At 41.6% G+C, this 18913-nt stretch overlaps 1 long non-coding RNA gene across 1 annotated transcript, besides 1 other annotated feature; it reads right to left on the bottom strand.

The window, feature by feature from the left end:
- LINC02948 (long intergenic non-protein coding RNA 2948) lies at positions 4795–7791 on the bottom strand. Its single transcript, XR_001745861.2, has 3 exons — positions 7562–7791; positions 5724–6043; positions 4795–5073 (listed from the first exon to the last, which is right to left on the bottom strand). It is a non-coding gene; the product is annotated as a long intergenic non-protein coding RNA 2948 (long non-coding RNA).
- Positions 13706–14905: an enhancer, noted in NCBI's record as "MED14-independent group 3 enhancer chr8:29412676-29413875 (GRCh37/hg19 assembly coordinates)". NCBI's record gives its function as "activates an origin of replication core promoter dependent on BRD2, BRD4, P300/CBP and CDK7 cofactors, and independent of MED14, by STARR-seq in HCT116 cells {active_cell/tissue: HCT116}" and the evidence as "EXISTENCE:reporter gene assay evidence [ECO:0000049][PMID:35650434]".

Here is an 18913-nt window from a genome sequence, read left to right as displayed (position 1 = left end):
ACTGTTCTCATCGTAGTGAATAAATTTCATGAGGTCTTATGGTTTTATAAATGGGAGTTCCCCTGCACAAGCTGTCTTACCTGCTGCCATGTAAGAAGTGACTTTGCTTTTCATTCACCTTCTGCCATGATTGTGAGGCCTCCCCAGCCATGTGGTACTGTGAGTCAATTAAACCTCTTTCTTTTATAAATTACCCAGTCTCAGGTTTGCTTATTACCAGCGTGAGAACAGATGAATATATTCTTCTTCTGAAAAGCTTTAACTGGAGCGAAGGAGTCATGTGGTAGCCTAGAGGGCAATGTGGGATCAAGGGGGTTTTCCCCCAGTTTTTTCATGGTCTTTATTGTGGCTACTGCCTTAAGATGTGTTCAACTTGAGCATATTAACAATCTAGGACCAAGAAGCCTATAGACATGGCAAGGTTGAGAATTCCAAAGAGGATAATTGATGCAGCAAGAAACCGAAAGAGATGAAAAGTAGGAATTTAGATGGAGTTTTCAGTCTTAAACTTATTTCCCTGGCTCTAGAGGAGAAGCAGCCAAGGGTAATTTGACATGTGGAAGTGTGGCCTGAAGGTCTCAGTGTCTTTCCTGAAGAAGGAGGAAAAGTCATTATCTTCTGAGAGTGAGGGGGAAAGGGCTGAGAGGTGAGTTGGGAAAAAGTGGTGATGATATTAAAAAGCACAGATAAATGGGAGAAATGGTTGACTGAAGACAAGAACAGAATTGTTAGTTCATCATTCAAGACCCAGCTGAGAGAGTATGCCACCTGTAATAGTCTGTTCGCATATCGCTATAAAGAACTTCCTAAAACTGAATAATTTATAAAGAAAAGAGGTTTAATTGACTGACAGTTCCTCAGGCTGTACAGAAGGCATGGCTGAGGGAGGCCTGAAGAAACTTACAGCTATGGCAAAAGGTAAAGAAAAAGCAGGCACATCTTACATGGCTGGAAAAGAAGAAAGAGGGTGAAGGGAGAAGTGCTACACACTTTTAAACAACCAGATCTCATGAGCACTCACTCACTATCACGAGAACAGCAAGAGGGATATTCCCTGCCATGATCCATTCACCTCCCACCGGGCCCCTCCTCCAACATTGGGGATTACAATTCAACATGAAATTTGGATGAGAACATAGATCCAAACTATATCATCACTCAATTATGCACCTGTATGCACGGTGTCTTGAGTTTCTGTAGCTGTACTCGGCAACTTCTATACTCTACACTAGTTAAGAGTGGAGAAATAAGATCCTAAAATTGATGGCTATTTTGGGGGTTTGTTTATTGGGCCATTGAGCAGAATTTGTGCTCCCTGTAATACATGCTGAACGAGCCTGTGATATGGATTAGTCTTTCCTACCTACCATGCTTCTGCCAACAAGATCCTGTATGGACTTACTCAATGTCTTATTCACCATCACTGTATCATACAACATTCCCTCTCTCAAAGGAACTTATAGTGAAAGAAGTAAGGCCATGTGCTCATCCTCACAGAATTCATGGGTCTTACCATGTGCCCTTCATCCAGAAACAGATGGTCTCATAGTGGAGAAATGGCCCCCTAAGGCCCAGTTACAGCATGAGCTGGGAGATAACACCTGACAAGGTTATAGAATGTGGTATATGCAAATTAGCAACAAATAAATCACCATTTTTAAAGCTGCAGCATCACCATTTATTTGTTGGCTGTGGTATATGCTGTATTAATCCTGTATTAGTTCATTCTCACATCATATGCAAATCACATGCTGATTTGCATATACCACAGTCAACAAATAAATGGTGACTCTGCAACTTTAGATGCCGTGGCTCTCCAGGGGACAGCAAAATGTTCCCATTGAACTAGAAGTTGAGACAGCCATGTAGCTAGTTTGAGCACTTCATGCCATTGAAATAATAGGCAAAGAAAATAAGGGAGATGATTGGTCTTGATGATCAAGATGAAAAAAGATTGTTGTTACACAACGAAGACAGGGAAAAATAGGCCCAGAATGCAGGGGGAAACTATGTCCTTAAAATGGACATATCTATGGTGACAGTTAATAAAGTCTGTAGGAATCCTACACAGACAAGACTGTCAAGGTCCAGACTACTCAGGAATAACTCTTTAGAGTACCCCACTAAGTAAAGAACCTTGACTGATTGAAGTATTGGCTGAGGGCAAAGGTATTAGCAGTAGAGGGATAAAACTATAAATAGAACTATAACCTTGGTTGGGAATTTACAGAAACAGACTGTAATAGATTCTCACATTTTCTTTCATTCACTCTCTCTCCTCTATCTATCTGCCTATCATCTACCTATCTATCATCTATCTATCTATCTGTCTGTCTATCTATCTATCTATCTGGTAACCTCTTTTATCCCTTTCTCTTTCTTTTACTGCTGTGATTGTGATGGCTATCTTTCTAATTTATTCCCTAGGTTAGAGGACTATAAAATCGGATTGTAAATGAACTACAGGAGGCATAACTATTACTCAGAGATGGATGTTCTCACCAATAAGACCTTTGGAAAGGATAAATATGTGTATTACAGTTATTAATAGTTATTATTAAGCCTGATGAATTTGACATTTTAGGTCAAAAAGTCAAATATCACCAATGTCACAAGCTTTAAACTATATCTTAAGTTAGGCAATGTGATGGTTAATTTTGTGTCAACTTGACTGGGCCATTTTATGCAGCAACTTGACTAGACCCAGACATTTGGTTGAACGTTATTCTGAGTGTGTTCGTAAGGGTGTTTCTGGATGAGATTAACATTTGAATTTAGTAGACTGGGTATAGCAGAGATGGCCCTTCCTACTGTGAGTGGGTCATCCAGTCCATTAAAGGCCTGAATAGAACAAAAAGGCTGACCACCCATAAGCAAGAGGGAATTCCTCCTGCCTGATTGCCTTTGAACTGGGACATTGATGTTTTTTCCTGCCTTTAGACTGAAACTGAAGCTTCAGCTCTTTCTAGATCTTAAGACCGCCAGCATTTAGATTGGAACCAAACCATTGCAGGCTGCAGATCTTGCAATTTTCAGCCTCCATAAACCCATCAGCCAATTCCCTATAATCAGTATATATTATTGTTTCTGTTTCTCTGGAGGATCCTGACTAGTACAGGCAGAAACATCAGTTATTGTTTGGAAATTTAAGTATAAGGAAAGATGTATATGAATGTTGAATACCAAAATGGCAGACTGTCACATTACCGGGGATTAGCTTGCTCAATATCCATTCCAACCCTCTCTGGTCCTGTGAATGCTAAATTTCTCAGACTACCTAGTAATGATGACTCTGTATATAGCTTGGGATCTACCATTCTATTGTACTTGTATTGGTCTTCAATTGTGAGTTGACTTATGTGAGAAGAAAGACAGAGTGCAAGGCTTCCTTTTTCTGATGTGGATCAGGGTAGAGAGGTGTGCTTCTGGAGCCAGTAGCTACAGTGATGGCTTTCTGACTTCTTGCCCTGATCTGGTGACTCCAAATCACACCAAAGGCAATGAGATTCTGGAACCAACCACTGCCTCTTCGTGCTGAGGAAGCAGCTCCCTTGGCAGTGCAGTTCTGCAGTGTGGGTTTTGGGAGTTGTTCCTGAAAGTTCCGCCTAGACTAAAGCATGGTTTCCAGCCCTCTCAGTGATTCTATGAGCTATACACACCTTTTAATAAATCTCTCAGCACTTAAACCAGCTAGAGTAGATTCTACTGCTTGCACCTAAGACTGTTATCCGACATACAGGCCACTTGCAACTCAGCCCTGAGTTCTCACCCAGCTCTCCTCAACTCTTCCCATCCACGATGCATATGACTCAGACATGCAGCAGGAGAGCACCCACCATTCTCCCCTTGCCTGCTCTTGTCCTCATCCCTTCTCCCTACATAGCACCGTAATGTTTGACAAGGTTAGGGAATGAACAGTACTCTGGTCAATGTAATGATTCTGCTTAGTGATCTTCAGAATGTGCCCCATTGGAAACCTAAGCAAATATAGACAGGTTGCAAAGGTTTCCTTCTGAACTCTTTTACATCAAATGCTATAAATTGCCTGGTATTTTTTAGCCTTTGCTAAAAAACTATTTACCATGTTGAGATTCTGCCTAAGATTTTCTTTGAGAAAGAGAGTTCCACCACTAAAACATTTTTAAGCCACTGTTCCAGTTACCAATTGCTGTGCTAAAAATGACAGACACATTGAAAAATACTATGAAGAAATGGCCCTGAAGCCAAGGCAGCAGGCTCATGACTTTCTAGACAGATGAATCGCAATTACCTATAGGCATGATTCTTTCCATGGAAATTGATTATCTGCAATAAGCCCCACACTGATAGGTGTGGGGCACAAACAGATAAATCATATACAGTTTCCAATTTAGGAGCTTTCAGCCTAGGACTTAGTATTTAACAGAATACTATATTAAACTTGTTTTGAAATGCTTAATAAAAGTGCTCTGTTCTCTCTGAAACCCAGTGAAAAGAGCTCCAGATTAGGAGACAGTGCCCTGAAACTCTCTCCGTCTCTTCATGCCTCAGTTTCTCATTGGTGATATGGAGCTAATAATTCACTAAGCTACTGTGAGAGGCAAATGAAATGCTAGATGTAAATTCATCCTGTAAACGTTCCCATGCTCCACAAAAGTAAGGCGTTTTGATGATCATGACCTGAATCTTTCCCTAAAGACTTCAGAGTCAGGGATCTCAGAGGGCCTGGCTTATTCCAACGTCCTCCTGAGCTCAGGAGTTGGCTGGCTGTGGGACGATGGGAACAGCAGAGGCTTCAAGGTAACCTTTAACTTTCGTTCTACCATTTACTAGCTGTGTGGCCTCAAGCAGGTGACTTCCCCTCTCTGAGCCTCAATTTCCTCATCATTAAAGTGGGGCCATAGTTCCTCAGCAGGGGGCTGTTGTGCAGATAAAGTGAAATGTTGCATGCAAAATGCCTCGTTCAGTGCCTGGCACACAGCCACTGTTGAGAACTGAGACTTGCCCATGTCTTCGACTTCCCTCCCCTGCCATCTCCAAGGCTCTGCCATGTGGCTCAGTCCAATCCAGCCTTCCAAACAGGCATCCGCTGTCCTGGGGTAACAAAGAAAGAAAGGGTTCTAGGCTTTGTCGTTTACTTTCAGCATAGTTTCTATTTAAGACAGATGTACCACCACATCGAGAATCTTCCAGAGTGAGCAAGTGGTCCAAAAACTGTCCCATTTATCCGATTTATTCAACGGATATTTATTGATTTCCTTTATCAATTTCCCTCTGTGACCTTCACATGGGGCACTCCTGGAGGAGAAAACCTCTGGGGAAGAACAGGTCGCTATTATTTCTCTGGCAAGAGCTACAGAGAGAGAAAAACACACTGCGCATGATAAGGCTGTCAGAGGACAATTGTTTCCAGGGCCAAGTAGTAAGGAACCAAAGGGCATCTCAAGCCTCTGCTGGTGGCATTGGCAGCCTCCTGGGAAGCCGAAACATCTTGCCAACACAGCCCTGAAACAAGCAGAAAGCTGGCTTGGCCCACCAGATCACGCTGAAGTTCTCCATGTGCCAGGAACATGGGGCATTGAATGAAATCCAGGCTGTGCACCTGGGTGACAGAAGGTGACAATACTGAAGGCAATGAGCACTGTCCCCAGGGCCCTAGCATTCTCCCTAACACATGCATTTAAAAGGTTTGGAGATGAGTGAGTGAGGCCAGCTGTGGGCTCCAGGAAACCCTATGCAATTACCTGGAGAGAGAGAAGTCCTTAGCATGAAGGAAGGGCACTGGCAGCCCTTGGCTTTGGCACTGGAACTGAACGCATATCAGGCAGCTGTCCATCCTGGGAACATATCCTGTCGCTACTGACTAGGTCTTGCCCACTTTCTGTGGCTGACCTGCCAGCTCTCCAAGCCACCAGCAAAGGCTATGTATGTGGTGGCAGACATCCACCCGAGGACTCAGCGGGCTTCACAGCTGACTTCTTGGTGTAAGGACCTCGAGGTGTCAGGTAGACAACCTACAAGTTCAGCGACTCCACTGGAAATGATGCCATGATGCTTGAGCATCCTACAAAAAAAGGATGAGAATCAGAAGACATTCAAGGCATCCTTCTGAATTTCTGTGAAGTTCAGCCCCATTATCTCTTCTCTTGACAGTAATGGCTTTCATAACCCAAGAGCAAATATGCTAAAGATGGTTAAAATGAGTAATCCATGGTCACAGTGATCGCCTTAATTTTAGTTCTGTTTACTTAGACAGAACCAAGTTAAAACTCTGTCTTAGATACATTGGGACCATTGAGTCATTGGGTGTTTCTCAGCACAATTCTAGATTAACCTCTTTCTTTTTTTTTTTTTTTTTTTAATTTTGAGATGGAGTCTCACTCTGTCACCCAGGCTGGAGTGCAGTGGCCCCATCTCGGCTCACTGCAACCTCCGCCTCCTGGGTTCACGCCATTCTCCTGCCTCAGCCTCCCAAGTAGCTGGGACTACAGGCGCCCACCACCATGCCCGGCTAATTTTTTGTATTTTTAGTAGAGACGGGGTTTCACCGTGTTAGCCAGGATGGTCTCGATCTCCTGACCTCATGATCTGCCAGCCTCAGCCTCCCAAAGTGCTGGGATTACAGGCATGAGCCACCGTGCCTGGCCTTAGATTAGCCTGTTTATACAGAAATCCCACATGATCATTACATAGTACAGGAAGGTGAGAAGAAATATCCTTGAATGTGGGGAATGGAGTTAAGGGATAGAACTGCAGAATAGGGTATCTGTTGGTATAGACAAAATCCTAACACACAGTAAATTGTTTTCTTCTCCCTTTTTCCCTTGAGTCTCAAACAATAATAGTTCAAAATCCAACAGGCAGTGGAGTTCCAGACACCCAGTGCTATACTGGGAAATCTGCATTGAACAGGAAGCACCCACATACCTGTGCAGACTCTATCCCGCTACCTGGAAATTCATTTTCTGCAATGGGGCACTTTGCATTATTCAGAAGCATAATCAGCTGGTGAGTATGAATGAGGTCAGAAACTCATCATCCCTCTTGTCTGTGTAAAATCCTCCCCACCAAGTATTTCTCAGTGCCCTCTGGCATGTCTTTCATGTTTGTGAATAATTTTGGGCTTGTTTTTCTCCCATGGAGCTCTGCTGGGTGTCTGCCAGATCTCCACTGTGGAGAGGCTGCTGTCTAGGGCCTCCACTCCTGTCAAGGGCCTGTATTCCTGAGTCCCTAAATTTGTGCCTGAAGGCTGTGTTTCCCCAGCCCTCACTGAACTAGAGCCAGGCTGGTGCTCTGCAGAAATCCGGAAATGGGGAGGACACTGCCCCTTTAGGAAGGGGTTGAGCTGGACAGCACTCCATTGCCACCACCTCTTTCCTCTGTCCCCAGGTGTCTTAGCACCTCAGGCTTCCTACTCAAGGGTCCCCTTCTGGGTCCTCCTCCCATGCAAAGCAACTCACCTAAGGACACTTGGGGGCCCCACGTGCCTCTTACCCTTTCTCAGATTAAACTCAGCCAGGACCCCGCTGCCCTAAGAAACCCCAAAGCACCCAAGGACCCACAACATTTAGAAAAGACTCACAGGAGATGAGACTTGAACAGGATTTCAAAGCGAAGGAGACAAACAGAAAAGAGGATGAGAAGATGGCACAGGAACTCAAGGATGTGTCATATTTGCTTTGTCATTGAGAAGAAAAAGGAAGAGATGACAAAAGAACCCGGCAGTTCCTAGGAGCCCAGCCCCGGGCAAGCTCTTTCTCCATGTGTTATTTCATTTAATCCTGAAAACAACGTTATTAATTCCTATCATTGGTGCTTTACAGATGAGAAAACCACAGCTTTGACTGATTAAATCATAGCCTTTCTTAACACCATGAATTATACTTTGGGAAATAGTACTCCAGAGAAGTTCTTCTCAACCAAAGAGTCAGGATCCAGGGGAATAGGGGGCTAAGCGTGGACTGGAGGAATGAAGACACTTGGCTTCCAGCTTTTTGTATGTCAGTCTCCTTGGTCCACACCACAGAGCTCCTTTGGACATCATTATATCCGCAAGATGTAATCATTACATCTTCTCAGGCCAAGCAAGGTACAAAGTGCCAAAATCTTAAAAGAGGGGGCATTGGATAGAAAATATTGGACAACCTCTTTTCCTAAGAGAAGAAGATCTTTAGAAGAAAATAAAGCTATTTATACCTCTGTTTCTAAATACAACCATTTTTATACCTGCCCTGGAGTTGGTTCCCAGAAGAGGATACCCATTCCATGGCTTTCTTTGAATTGGCATTTCTAACTTCAAACTAGAGGAATTAGTCAAAGTTCTTTAACACACTAAACCACCCATAGGAATGGAACTCACCAATATAGGGGACAGGCAAGCGGGTTTCTGGGTTCTTTAGTCATTGACGCAGACACTGCATTTACTGAGTGTCCTCTGTGGGACAGCATCATTCCAAGTGCTGGGCTAGGGATGGAAGCAAGAGGCAAAGATAAATAACTAAGGGTCCCTACCTTCAAGTGAATCTCTCTCAGTGTCTCTCTCTTTCCTCAAAACAGCTTTGTTTGGTCCCCACAAAACACGAGATGTCCCCTGATATGGTGACATCATCAGGGCATCTTCCCTTATTAGAAACATTCTGGCCTATTTATACCCTCAAAGTTTTTCAAACTCACTGGCAGTTCCACTCCTATATGCAAGTTTTAAAAACTGGTACACCAATGGGTTAAAACAATGCCACTGATGAAACAAGGAAATATTCAACCGGGCTTTGCAAATTCCAAACAGTTTTCTCTGTATACAAATAAACCCGGAAGCATAGATTGGAACAAAGATGACCCTGTAACACAATCCTCTCTGTGCAAATAAGAATGTGTGAGTGGGGTGATGTGCTCTTTGACCAAAACTCCTGTCCAGGGGAGTTGGGTCATGTCTTGGCCTTTGACCACAGTTTTCTGGGAGGTCAGCAGCATCCCAACACCTTGGGAGCAGAATGAGCTAAACTATGGAGACTCAAAATCGAGGCTGTTTTCTTGTATGGCAGAAAGTAAAGAGCACCAGACCAGGGTTCAAATAAGACCGATCCCAATATTTCAATTTGAATCACAGCTCTGCAACTTACTGGCCATGAGTTCCCAGGCAACTCACATAAGCCCTTGGATCTTCAGTTTTTCTATCTATAAATGGAGTGGAGGAAGGGAGTAACAATGCCAGCTCTGACGACCTCAAAGAAATATTGTGAGATTCTAAAGACATAATTTGCTTGAAACCATGCTGTAAACTGCCTAATGCACCCCAAATATAAGAGAGTCCCATCATTATTACTATAATAGTCTCTACAGTGGTATGTTTAGAAAATTCAAGTAGTTCCAAGTGTGTGTCTATTTGTGTCCTACTATTTCTCTTTCGCAGAAATAAAAAGTCGCTACCAGGACTGGGCGCAGTGGCTCACGCTTATAATCCCAGCACTATGGAAGGCCAAGGTGGGTGGATCGCTTGAGCCTAGGAGTTTGAGACCAGCCTGGGCAACATGGCAAAACCTCATCTCTACAAAAATACAAAAAAAAATTAGCTGTGAGTGGTGGTGTATGCCTATAGTCCCAAATAATTGGTAGACCGAAGTGGGGAGGATCACCTGAGCCCCATATGACGAGGCTGATGAGCCGAGGCTGTGGTGAGCCGTGACTGCACCACTGCACTCCAGCCCAGGTGATAGAGTGAGAGCCTGTCTCAAAACAAAACAAAACAAAAACAAAAAACAAACAAACAAAAGTAGCTACCTGCTAAATAGAAGACCAGCCCAACAAACAGATAGGCAATGATTTGTGAATTCTCTTGAGTTCAGCCATTCTGCTTCCATCTAGCGTCAACTGAAGAATGTCACGTACATGCTTGTTACTATCAGGTGTCCTGCTGAAAGAGCAATCTGGACATGATTTTCATTCTTGCCAAAAATCTGACTTCTCTTCTTGTACTACAGGCAGAGGAATCTGCCAGCCGGAGGCCCCTTGAGGCCAAGGAAGGAAGCCCAAGCTTTATTCCATCCCAGCATTACTATGTTGATGTGAGTGACAGCCCTTACAGGAAGCTGCAGCAAAGCCTCTACTACTGTCCCTTCTGCCTTGTCCTGGGCTCATGATTCCCACTCCCTGGAGCAAAGCCGACTGCTGCTATGAGAACAGGTCCTTTTGGTTTCACAGAGGACTTTCAGCAACTACGACCTTCCTATTTTATGATTAATAATTCACCCTTAGTTCCCCCAAAGCAGATAGGAGCTCAATCATAAAATACTCATCCTATCGCCATACTAATTGTTTTCTGTTGGCCAAAGAGAAAGTGTCAATTCCTCAGCTAGGTATACAGCCTCACAATTTGCTCCTAGTCTGGCCTTTCAGCCCACATCAATTTTGTCTATCTCTCTATTAATATATTGTTCTACCTACCCACCTAGATTCCTACCTATCTACTCTATCTACCTTTTCATCCGTAAGATATATAAATAATTATAGGAGAAGGAATTATTCCAAGTTCCAGAGGGACACACTGATGTAATTGTACCTGAAACAATACGTATTTATGTGAGTTGCACCTAAACAATATATATTTATAATTAATTTGTGCATTGATTGTCTCTAATAGCCAACCTACACTTATTCAGATGTAAAACATAGTTATTCAGACATTACACATACACTCTCAGTGTGGGCAGAAGAAGCTTTTGTCAGCTTTATTTAACTTATTTTAGAGTGACTATTTCTTGTTTAGAAAAGTTGGATTTGAGCTGCCTTTTTAGATTACTCTGACTTGCAAAGATCTCCACTTGCCTCATAATACCCCAGTACTCATCTGCTGTTCACACACAGTTTTGTGTTATCTCTCAGGAGGCTGAGTGTCCTATTTCTGTCTTTGTCTTAATTCCTGGTGAGTTTGCATCCACATTCAAATGGTCAGATAGCTACAGAACACCCCCAGGAGGTGCTCAGCTTATTTAGATTCTCCTGCCACCACCATAATGTGCTTGTGGACCCACTCCCACCACCTTTGTGAATTCACATTCTCATACTTTCGATCTAAGATGAATGCTCAAATGCCTGCTGACCAAAATTTGCTTTACATCATGGCTTCAGTGGGTAGCCTCCATAGTTTACACTCATCCGAAAGCTGAGATTGAAACACCATCATCTTCTGCTCTAGGTCACAGCTCCTCGTAGATGTCCCAGCAAGCCTTGACTTGGCTTGTACTTGGGGACCACTTGACTCTGTCTTTGGTCCATTTGTGACTTCCATCTAGATTGCTGCACTTTATCACTTTTCTTATCAAAGTCCAACCCCCCTTCAAAATCCAACATAAATCCCACTTCTTCTGACCCTACTTCCTCTGAGAAGCTTTCTCCATCTATTCACAGCCAGATCTGACATAGTGGAAGCAACCCTAGCACTTTCATCCTCTGTCCTGGTGTGGCACTTACTGTACTAGCAACTATTTTGTTGCTATTTTTTTCTCTGATTGTAGTGCCTGGAAGGCAAGGGCTGTCTGCCCCTACATGACACTTTGTTCCTGGTGAGTTAGAGAGACTCCATTCTGGGTGCGATGACACAGGAATCTTGCAGGGCTGAGAAGACGCAATGCAGAAGTGTTCAGTGGAGTCCACGTGGTGACCATGAATTCCCCCATGCCTGCTTTTACGAGGAATGCTAGTTCTGGGGTCCCAGAAGAGCCTTGATCATAGAAACTTTGACTATACGGACTCTTTGGAGAAAATAATACCACGCCCCGCTTTGGCCAAATGAGGCTACTAAAGCCAAGGTAAGGGTGACAGATTCTCATTCATGCAATTAGTTAAACAACAGAGGTGAAACTAGAATAAAATGAAAAGCCACAACCACCCAGAATGCACAGTACAAATCTAAGTTCCTCACTGAAGAGTTTGAAGATTTAAAGAACACCATTCTTCTTCTTCTTCTTCTTTTTTTTTTCCTTTTTCTAGAGACAGGATGGGTCTCAGTCTATCACCCAGGCTGGAGTGCAGTAGTGCTATCATAGCTCACAGCAACCTCGAACTCCTGGGCTCAAATGATCCTCCTGCCTCAGCCTCTGAAGTAGCTGGGGCTACAGGCACGTGCCATCACACCCAGCTATTTTTAAAATTTATTTGTGGAGATGGGGTTTCAGTAAGTTGCCCAGGCTGGTCTCAAACTCCTTGGCTAAAGCGATCCTCCTGTCTCAGCTTCCCAAAGTGGTGGGATTACAGTCGTGAGCCACTGCACCTGGCCAAAACATCATTCTTAATATTGGCTATCACTGTCATCAACATTTACTGAGTATCCTCCTTAGTCGAGGCTCTCCAGAGTCAAGGTAATGAAAAAGAGAAAAATTGGCAAAGCAAATCCACCTCTAGTTCAACAGGAGAAACAGAGTTATCACTGTGTGGGGGCTGTTCAGAGACCAGATGAGGCAGATGACCCTGGAGACGCAGTGTGGTCAATGGGGGAGGGAACTGGCTTGCCATATGGGATCTGTCCCAAGCTAGCTGTGCCATCTTGGACTGGTTCTTCAAGCACTCTGAACTTTGGCTTTCTTATCTGGAAAATAACTGTGACCATCTTTTTTAGCTTGCACATTCTGAGACTGTTTCTCATGTAGTGTATGGGTGATAAGACCTCAAGCTTTTTATTCTCTGGCAAAAATTCAATGCCCAGTGGAGCTAACCTTATGCCTGTGTGTAGCTGGTGTTTATATGAAAGCCCCTCCATCTTAGGACTAAGTAAATGATTCCTGAATGTGAAAAAGGAGGCACTCATTCATGTCTTCCTAGCCCTTCCACACATTGTCTTGACTTGATCTACTTTTCCCTTGCTTTGAATCTTATAAGAGGGAGGAGACGTGCTCAAGTGTAAAAGGTTGTGTTAATTGTATTTCTCAGCTCACACCACATTATCATCATTAGACCCTTAGAAGGCCCCTTTCCTGTTTATGTATTTATTTACTGTCTTCTAACTCTATTCTTCACTCCTATTTCCACCCCCAAGAGCAACCATCCAGTGGATTTAATATATATCATTTTGCTTGGTTGTACCCCTATAAAATGTGGATATTTGCTTTATGTGTATGTATTTTTAAACTTCTACATGTCCCTACATGACACTTTGCTCCTGGTGAGTGAAATCTGCTCTTTCTAGGTCGTATACTAGGTACTAGGTTCTATATTTCTATTTTCCTGGTGAAGCTGGTGAGAGAATTCCTACCTCCAAGCCCCTTCCTCTCCACCACAGAAGATGTGTTCAAGCAGAGGAGATCTGCCAAAACCACACTTTTCATTAAGTGAAAGAGCACATATTATTCATCTATACAACAAAAGGAAGGGGGGCAAGATGGCAAAGTGATTAACAACACAAGCTCTCGAGTCAAACGTGCTTTAGTCTGAAGCCTGCTTTTCCACATTTATATAACTGCAGGCCAATTACTCAGCCTCCCAAAAATCTGCATTTCTTCATCTGTAAAATAAGGATAAGAGTAAATCATGAGGTAATGGTAAAGGTTAAATAAGACAGGCTTAGAAAAACAGGGGCTGGCACCGAGTACATTCTAAATGAATGACAACTGAATTTAGTAATAAATACTTATTGGAGTGCTCACAGATGCCAGGCCCTGCAGGTCTTGTGCAGGAGAGAGAGCTTAGAATGAAAGACAAAGAGGAAGTGAAGACCTTTAAAGGCATGTCTGGGAACCCAGAAAATTATACAATTAAAGTCTTCTAACTGTTAACCCTTTAAGTCCCAGGGATACAAGATTCCAGTGAAGATATTTACAAGTGTCATTATTGGTCATTTTCTACACTGGCACAAAACAATGAAAGGAAAAGAATAGTCTTCCGTGTGTGAAACTTCTGTTTTTAAGGTTAAAATCTATACTTGGAGGCATAGGTTTTGTGTTCACCTAGCTTTCCCACTTTCAAATGAGAGCCTCTCACACATGTAAATTGCCACCTGTCTGGTATTAACTTGGTCAAGAGTGTCGTACCAGGCTATCTCTATTCTGAGGCTTTCTATTCAAGGAAGCTTAGAGTTACAGAAAGCTGGCCAGAGCCTGGGGGTAGGGGAGTCCTTAGGGACCATCTGCCTTACCCTTCCTTTGCACATGAGGACTCTGAGTAGATTAAGCAGCTTCCGTCACCGGCAGTATTTTATGTAATATGCTCCAACAGACATTCAGCAATCATACAAATATGAATTCCTGTGAGTGATAATACTTAGAACATTCTGGTGTTGCCTCCAAGTTCATGGGCACCTGCATGCAGACAGCAGTGGAGGTCATGCACGACCTTGCCTTAGGACAAAGAAATACTCCATAATCATATCTGGTGTCCAGATATCTAGGAAAGAATGTGACCTAAACTTAACACATCATGTGTTCTTCAGCCCTAGAGCCTATCCCATCTCGCCATCGATTTAGCCTTTAAAGGGCACACCTTGAGGAAACAATGATCTCAGTCATTGCCCTTCAGCAATGTGAACTCTGGACTGTGTATCTAAAACAGATGGAGCCAGGTGCGTCAGAAAAGTGACGCCCAAAGCCACAGCGATCACGGCATGATTATGAAAACCACAACCTGTAACATTAGCTCAAAGAAGCAAGTTGAGTGCTTCCTCGAAGAAAAGTCTTTTGATGAGCCTAATGAGTCATATGAAATCAGGAAGTTATTCTTCCATTTATACTTTCCAAACTGGCTTAACTGTCTTTATTAACTGTTGTTAACACATGAAAAATGTTATTGATTGACTTTTAGCAGAATGATGAATTAAACTTAGCTTTTCTCATTGTTTCTCAATATAATACTGGTGTTGTTACCCTCTTTTAAATGTCTGATCAGCATCTACAGATATTCAACCCCTTAAGTGGGGATTAGAAAAGTCAATACACCCATAATTAATCCTAAACAGCTGATGTCCATCATTGGTGGACATTGGTCAATGAACTGTTGTCATAATTAATGTTAAATGTATAAGAGAGAATAATTTGGCTTTATACTGTTCATGTTAAGGCAGCTAGACAGAAAAAAATATATAAAATCTTCCAGAAAAATCTTGAAATAGATACATTTTAGAGTTTCATATGCCTTAGCATTCTACTTGTTTAAGATACTCATAGGGAGTTGTGAAAATGTGTCATATTTTGTTCTGATTAGTTTCAGGTTTTATAAATTTCTATGTATCAAATAAACTGAATTTATTAAGACATAATTAACCTATTTTCACATTTTAATCATTTAAGGCATATATAACTGTAATCAAAGCTTCAGATCAGGATGATATTCAATGTTATCAAACTGAATTAATTTAACTCTAATCAAAAGCAAAAATACCATGACATTCTGGTTAATTCATGCACTTTTATTTTGGGAAATGTGCAAAGTCTGTTGAACTTCTTGAAAAAATGAAAATTATTTAAAAATCTCTCTTGCTTCCTTTAAAGACCTCCTACGGTCCCAGGTCCCCCAGGGGATGAACCACTGAGTTAATGTTTCATAGAGGGCTCAGTAGTAGAATTCACACAGCCTTGAATTGGAGAAGGAGATCTGTCTTTTACTTCTGCCTTTGTCCCCCAAAACCTGCGTTTGTGACCAAGACACAAGTCCAATGCTTACCCTTCCAATGTTTCAATTTACCCATCTGAAAGTACGAAAAACTATGAGATAATTTAAGAAAAAAAAAAGGAAGAAAAGAAAAAGCAAAGAAAAGAAAAGAAAGAAAGAAAGAAAGAAAGAAAGAAAGAAAGAAAGAAAGAGAGAGAAAGAAAGAAAAGAAAGAAAGAAAGAAAAAGAAGGGGAGGGAGGGAGGGAGGGAAAATTTTGCACCTCAGGGCTTAACAACAATTCTACAGGAAGAAAACAATTTGGGTGTTCTGAGCTCAGAGAACACCTTAGGATGTTGCTCGTTCACATCTACTGAGCACCAGATAAATTCAACCTTTTTGAGAATTTAAAGAATTCCAAAAATTCAACTAGACTAGATTAGTTCCATATCAAGCTATTTGAATTCAATAATCTTCAGAAAAAACGATTACAATTCCAGAGAGAGAAATTGTTTTGAATTCTGGACCAGGGAACAAAGCCAAAAGTTTTGACTTGAGCCCTAAAGAGTTTCCAACTGTATTTCAATTGGAAATAAAAATGTGCTTAATTATGTCCACATCTACTTCTTTTGTAGTTTATATAATAGCTGTTTGGGGTGACTTTCCTTAGGAAACAGAGCTTGTGCCTTGATAGCTAATGAAAGGGATGCTTTAAAAAGTGTACTCACATAGACAATAGTCCCCTCTGACTTTAGACTTTTCTAAAAGTCCCTCTCTGAGTTGAATCCCAAGCTACACGTGTGCATTCTTATGCAAATAAACCAAATATCCAAACCAGGTGCACAAAACAAGAAATTCCAACACAGAAATAAAAACCTTATTTACTCACAGAATTGCAACAGTCTCAGTATTAACTGCTCTAACCTCATGAACAATCAGGTGCTGAGGGAATCAGGTGCTGGGGACTCATGGCTCATGAACTTCAGCCTGAGGAGACCATGATGATCCTAACAAGATGAGATGCCCCAAGGGACCACAATTCTGACCTTTGTCTCCACAGTCCATTGGCCGACCATCTTCTCTAGAAGAGTCCATCTTGCAAAGAAGTGCTCTTTGTTTCTCTGATGTTCTCATTGGAATCAAAAGAAAAGAAAACCTACAGACATGGTCTGTACCATGCTGCCATGGGTGACCCCCTGGTTTGCAGCCAACTGATAATCCAAAACAGTTGAGATGATGAATGTTTTAGAACACTGGTTTAAAGAAAGGCTCTTATTTTGGCCAACATGAGGCTGAAAAAAACCTAGCCAATGCCATTTTGAGACCAAATGGAAGAGCAGCAGGAATTCTGTCTGATTTAGAATGTTGTATGACACAATCTTTCATTACCTCCCACTTTGCTTACATGTTATTTATGCTTACTGAAATAATTTTTAGAGGTGAATATACTAACCATGACTATTGTCATTTATACCACAGAACCTTGAAAAAGCTCAGAAATTAGTGGTACCAGGTTACTTTGGAAGCAGAGTTAATGGTAAATAGAGTTATTTAAAAGGTTGTTGACAAGCTGTTAGGAGTTCACCTCTAATAGAATAAACTCCCACTGGACCTCTCTGCCTCAAATAATAATAATAAACTTTGAACAACTTTTTAAAAAAAATCCGAAAACACTGCAGAGTGAACAAAAGCAGGTAGATTCTGGAGGGGAGTTGCCATTTGGAATAAGGGAATGGCACAAGGTAGCAGAGTAATTTTCCCTTTTCTTCCTATTTCTTGGACCTAGGAAAGGTGGCCAGGTGGCATTGCTAAAACTCCAATAGAAAATCTGCAGTCTTTCTGGTCTGAAGAACCAGAGAAAAGAGTTCAGGGCCACTATAGCCACAACCACAGGGGAAATAAAGGGGTAATATTGGAAAGGAGGGGCCAAAGAAGGGGAGCCACAAATTAAGTGTGTAAATTCTGAGCTACTCCCTAGCTACACATGCACAGGGCAAACTGCACACATATCAGCTAAATATGCAGGAACTACAAGGAGATCTGAACTATCACCAAAAATCAGAGTTTTTAGCTTGAATCAAACCAAAGCAATTGCCTATTAAAATAAATAAATTCAACAACAACTCTCTCCCAGATTGTCCACAACATAACATTCACAACACCCAGAATACAATCCAAAATTATTCCATATATGAAGTAACAGGAAAATGCAACTCATTCTCAGGTGAAAAGATAATTAACAGAAATTGACCTTGAGATGACCCAGATGTTTGAAGTAGCAAACAAGGATTTTATGGGAGCTATTATAACTGTGCACAATGATGCAAAAGATAATATTCTTATAATGAATGAAAAGATAGGGAATCTTAGAAAAGATATAGAAACATAAGAAAAATTCTAGAACTGAGCAGTATAATATCTGAAATAAAATATTTACTAGGTAGAAGAGTAGGAAGGAGATAACAAAGGAAAGTGTCAGTAAACAAGAAAACAAATCAAGAGAAATTATGCAATTTCAAGCATAGAAAGGCAATTAAAACAATAGATCCTTTCCCTTACTCAACTTAACCAGATGACTTTCCCTCCTCCACCCCAGCAGAACACTAAAGGCTTAACATTCTCTAAAGGAGGTAAAACAGAGTCTCTGAACTTAGTGACCAAGGATAGTTGAAGATGGTAGTACAATAATAGAAACAGAAAAATTAAGTAGAAATTGACATACTAAATAGAGACAACACTCACTCCCATGCTTGCTCTTTTTCTCAAAATGTTAGCAGTAGGCTTATGCCCTCCAAGCAAGATATTAAAATATTCTACTTTGAGGAATCTTACCAACCCAGGAGAAAAGACCCAATGATATTGACAGCCAAGGTTATATTCTCCAGCCAAGTAATCCAACCATTTCCTATCTAGGAGAATATATGCCTGGTTGATTGCTTTCCAGGAACAAGATGGAGAAAGAAAACCGGGACTTGCATCATTCAGTGTGCGAACTTCCATAAAATACTTCCGCTTGTTAGCCCTAAACCTCTGTTCCCCTCTGTGCTGTCCCATCTGTGAATATTTATCCCCACCAAGTAGATGAATTGGATATTTAAGGAGCAAGAGTCAGAAGAAGGCTAACTTGTATCTACATTCTCATTAGTAATTTTGAATTTTGTACCAAAAGCATACATTATTCATTCAAAAAATAAAGCATTAATTTCCAGTGCTCAGTAAAGGGAATGACAGATAAATTTGAGGAAATAGCCCACAAAGGCCAGAAAATACAAAGAGAAGAAAAGTTGAAGAATAAACATGAGAAATGTGAAGAATCAATTCAAGAAATCTGACGAACAACTAATAGTAGTTCTGAGAAAAGAATA

This window comes from Homo sapiens, chromosome 8 (assembly GCF_000001405.40).
Source record: "Homo sapiens chromosome 8, GRCh38.p14 Primary Assembly".
Lineage (NCBI taxonomy): Eukaryota > Metazoa > Chordata > Mammalia > Primates > Hominidae > Homo > Homo sapiens.
This window is presented reverse-complemented; position numbering and strand designations above follow the sequence as displayed.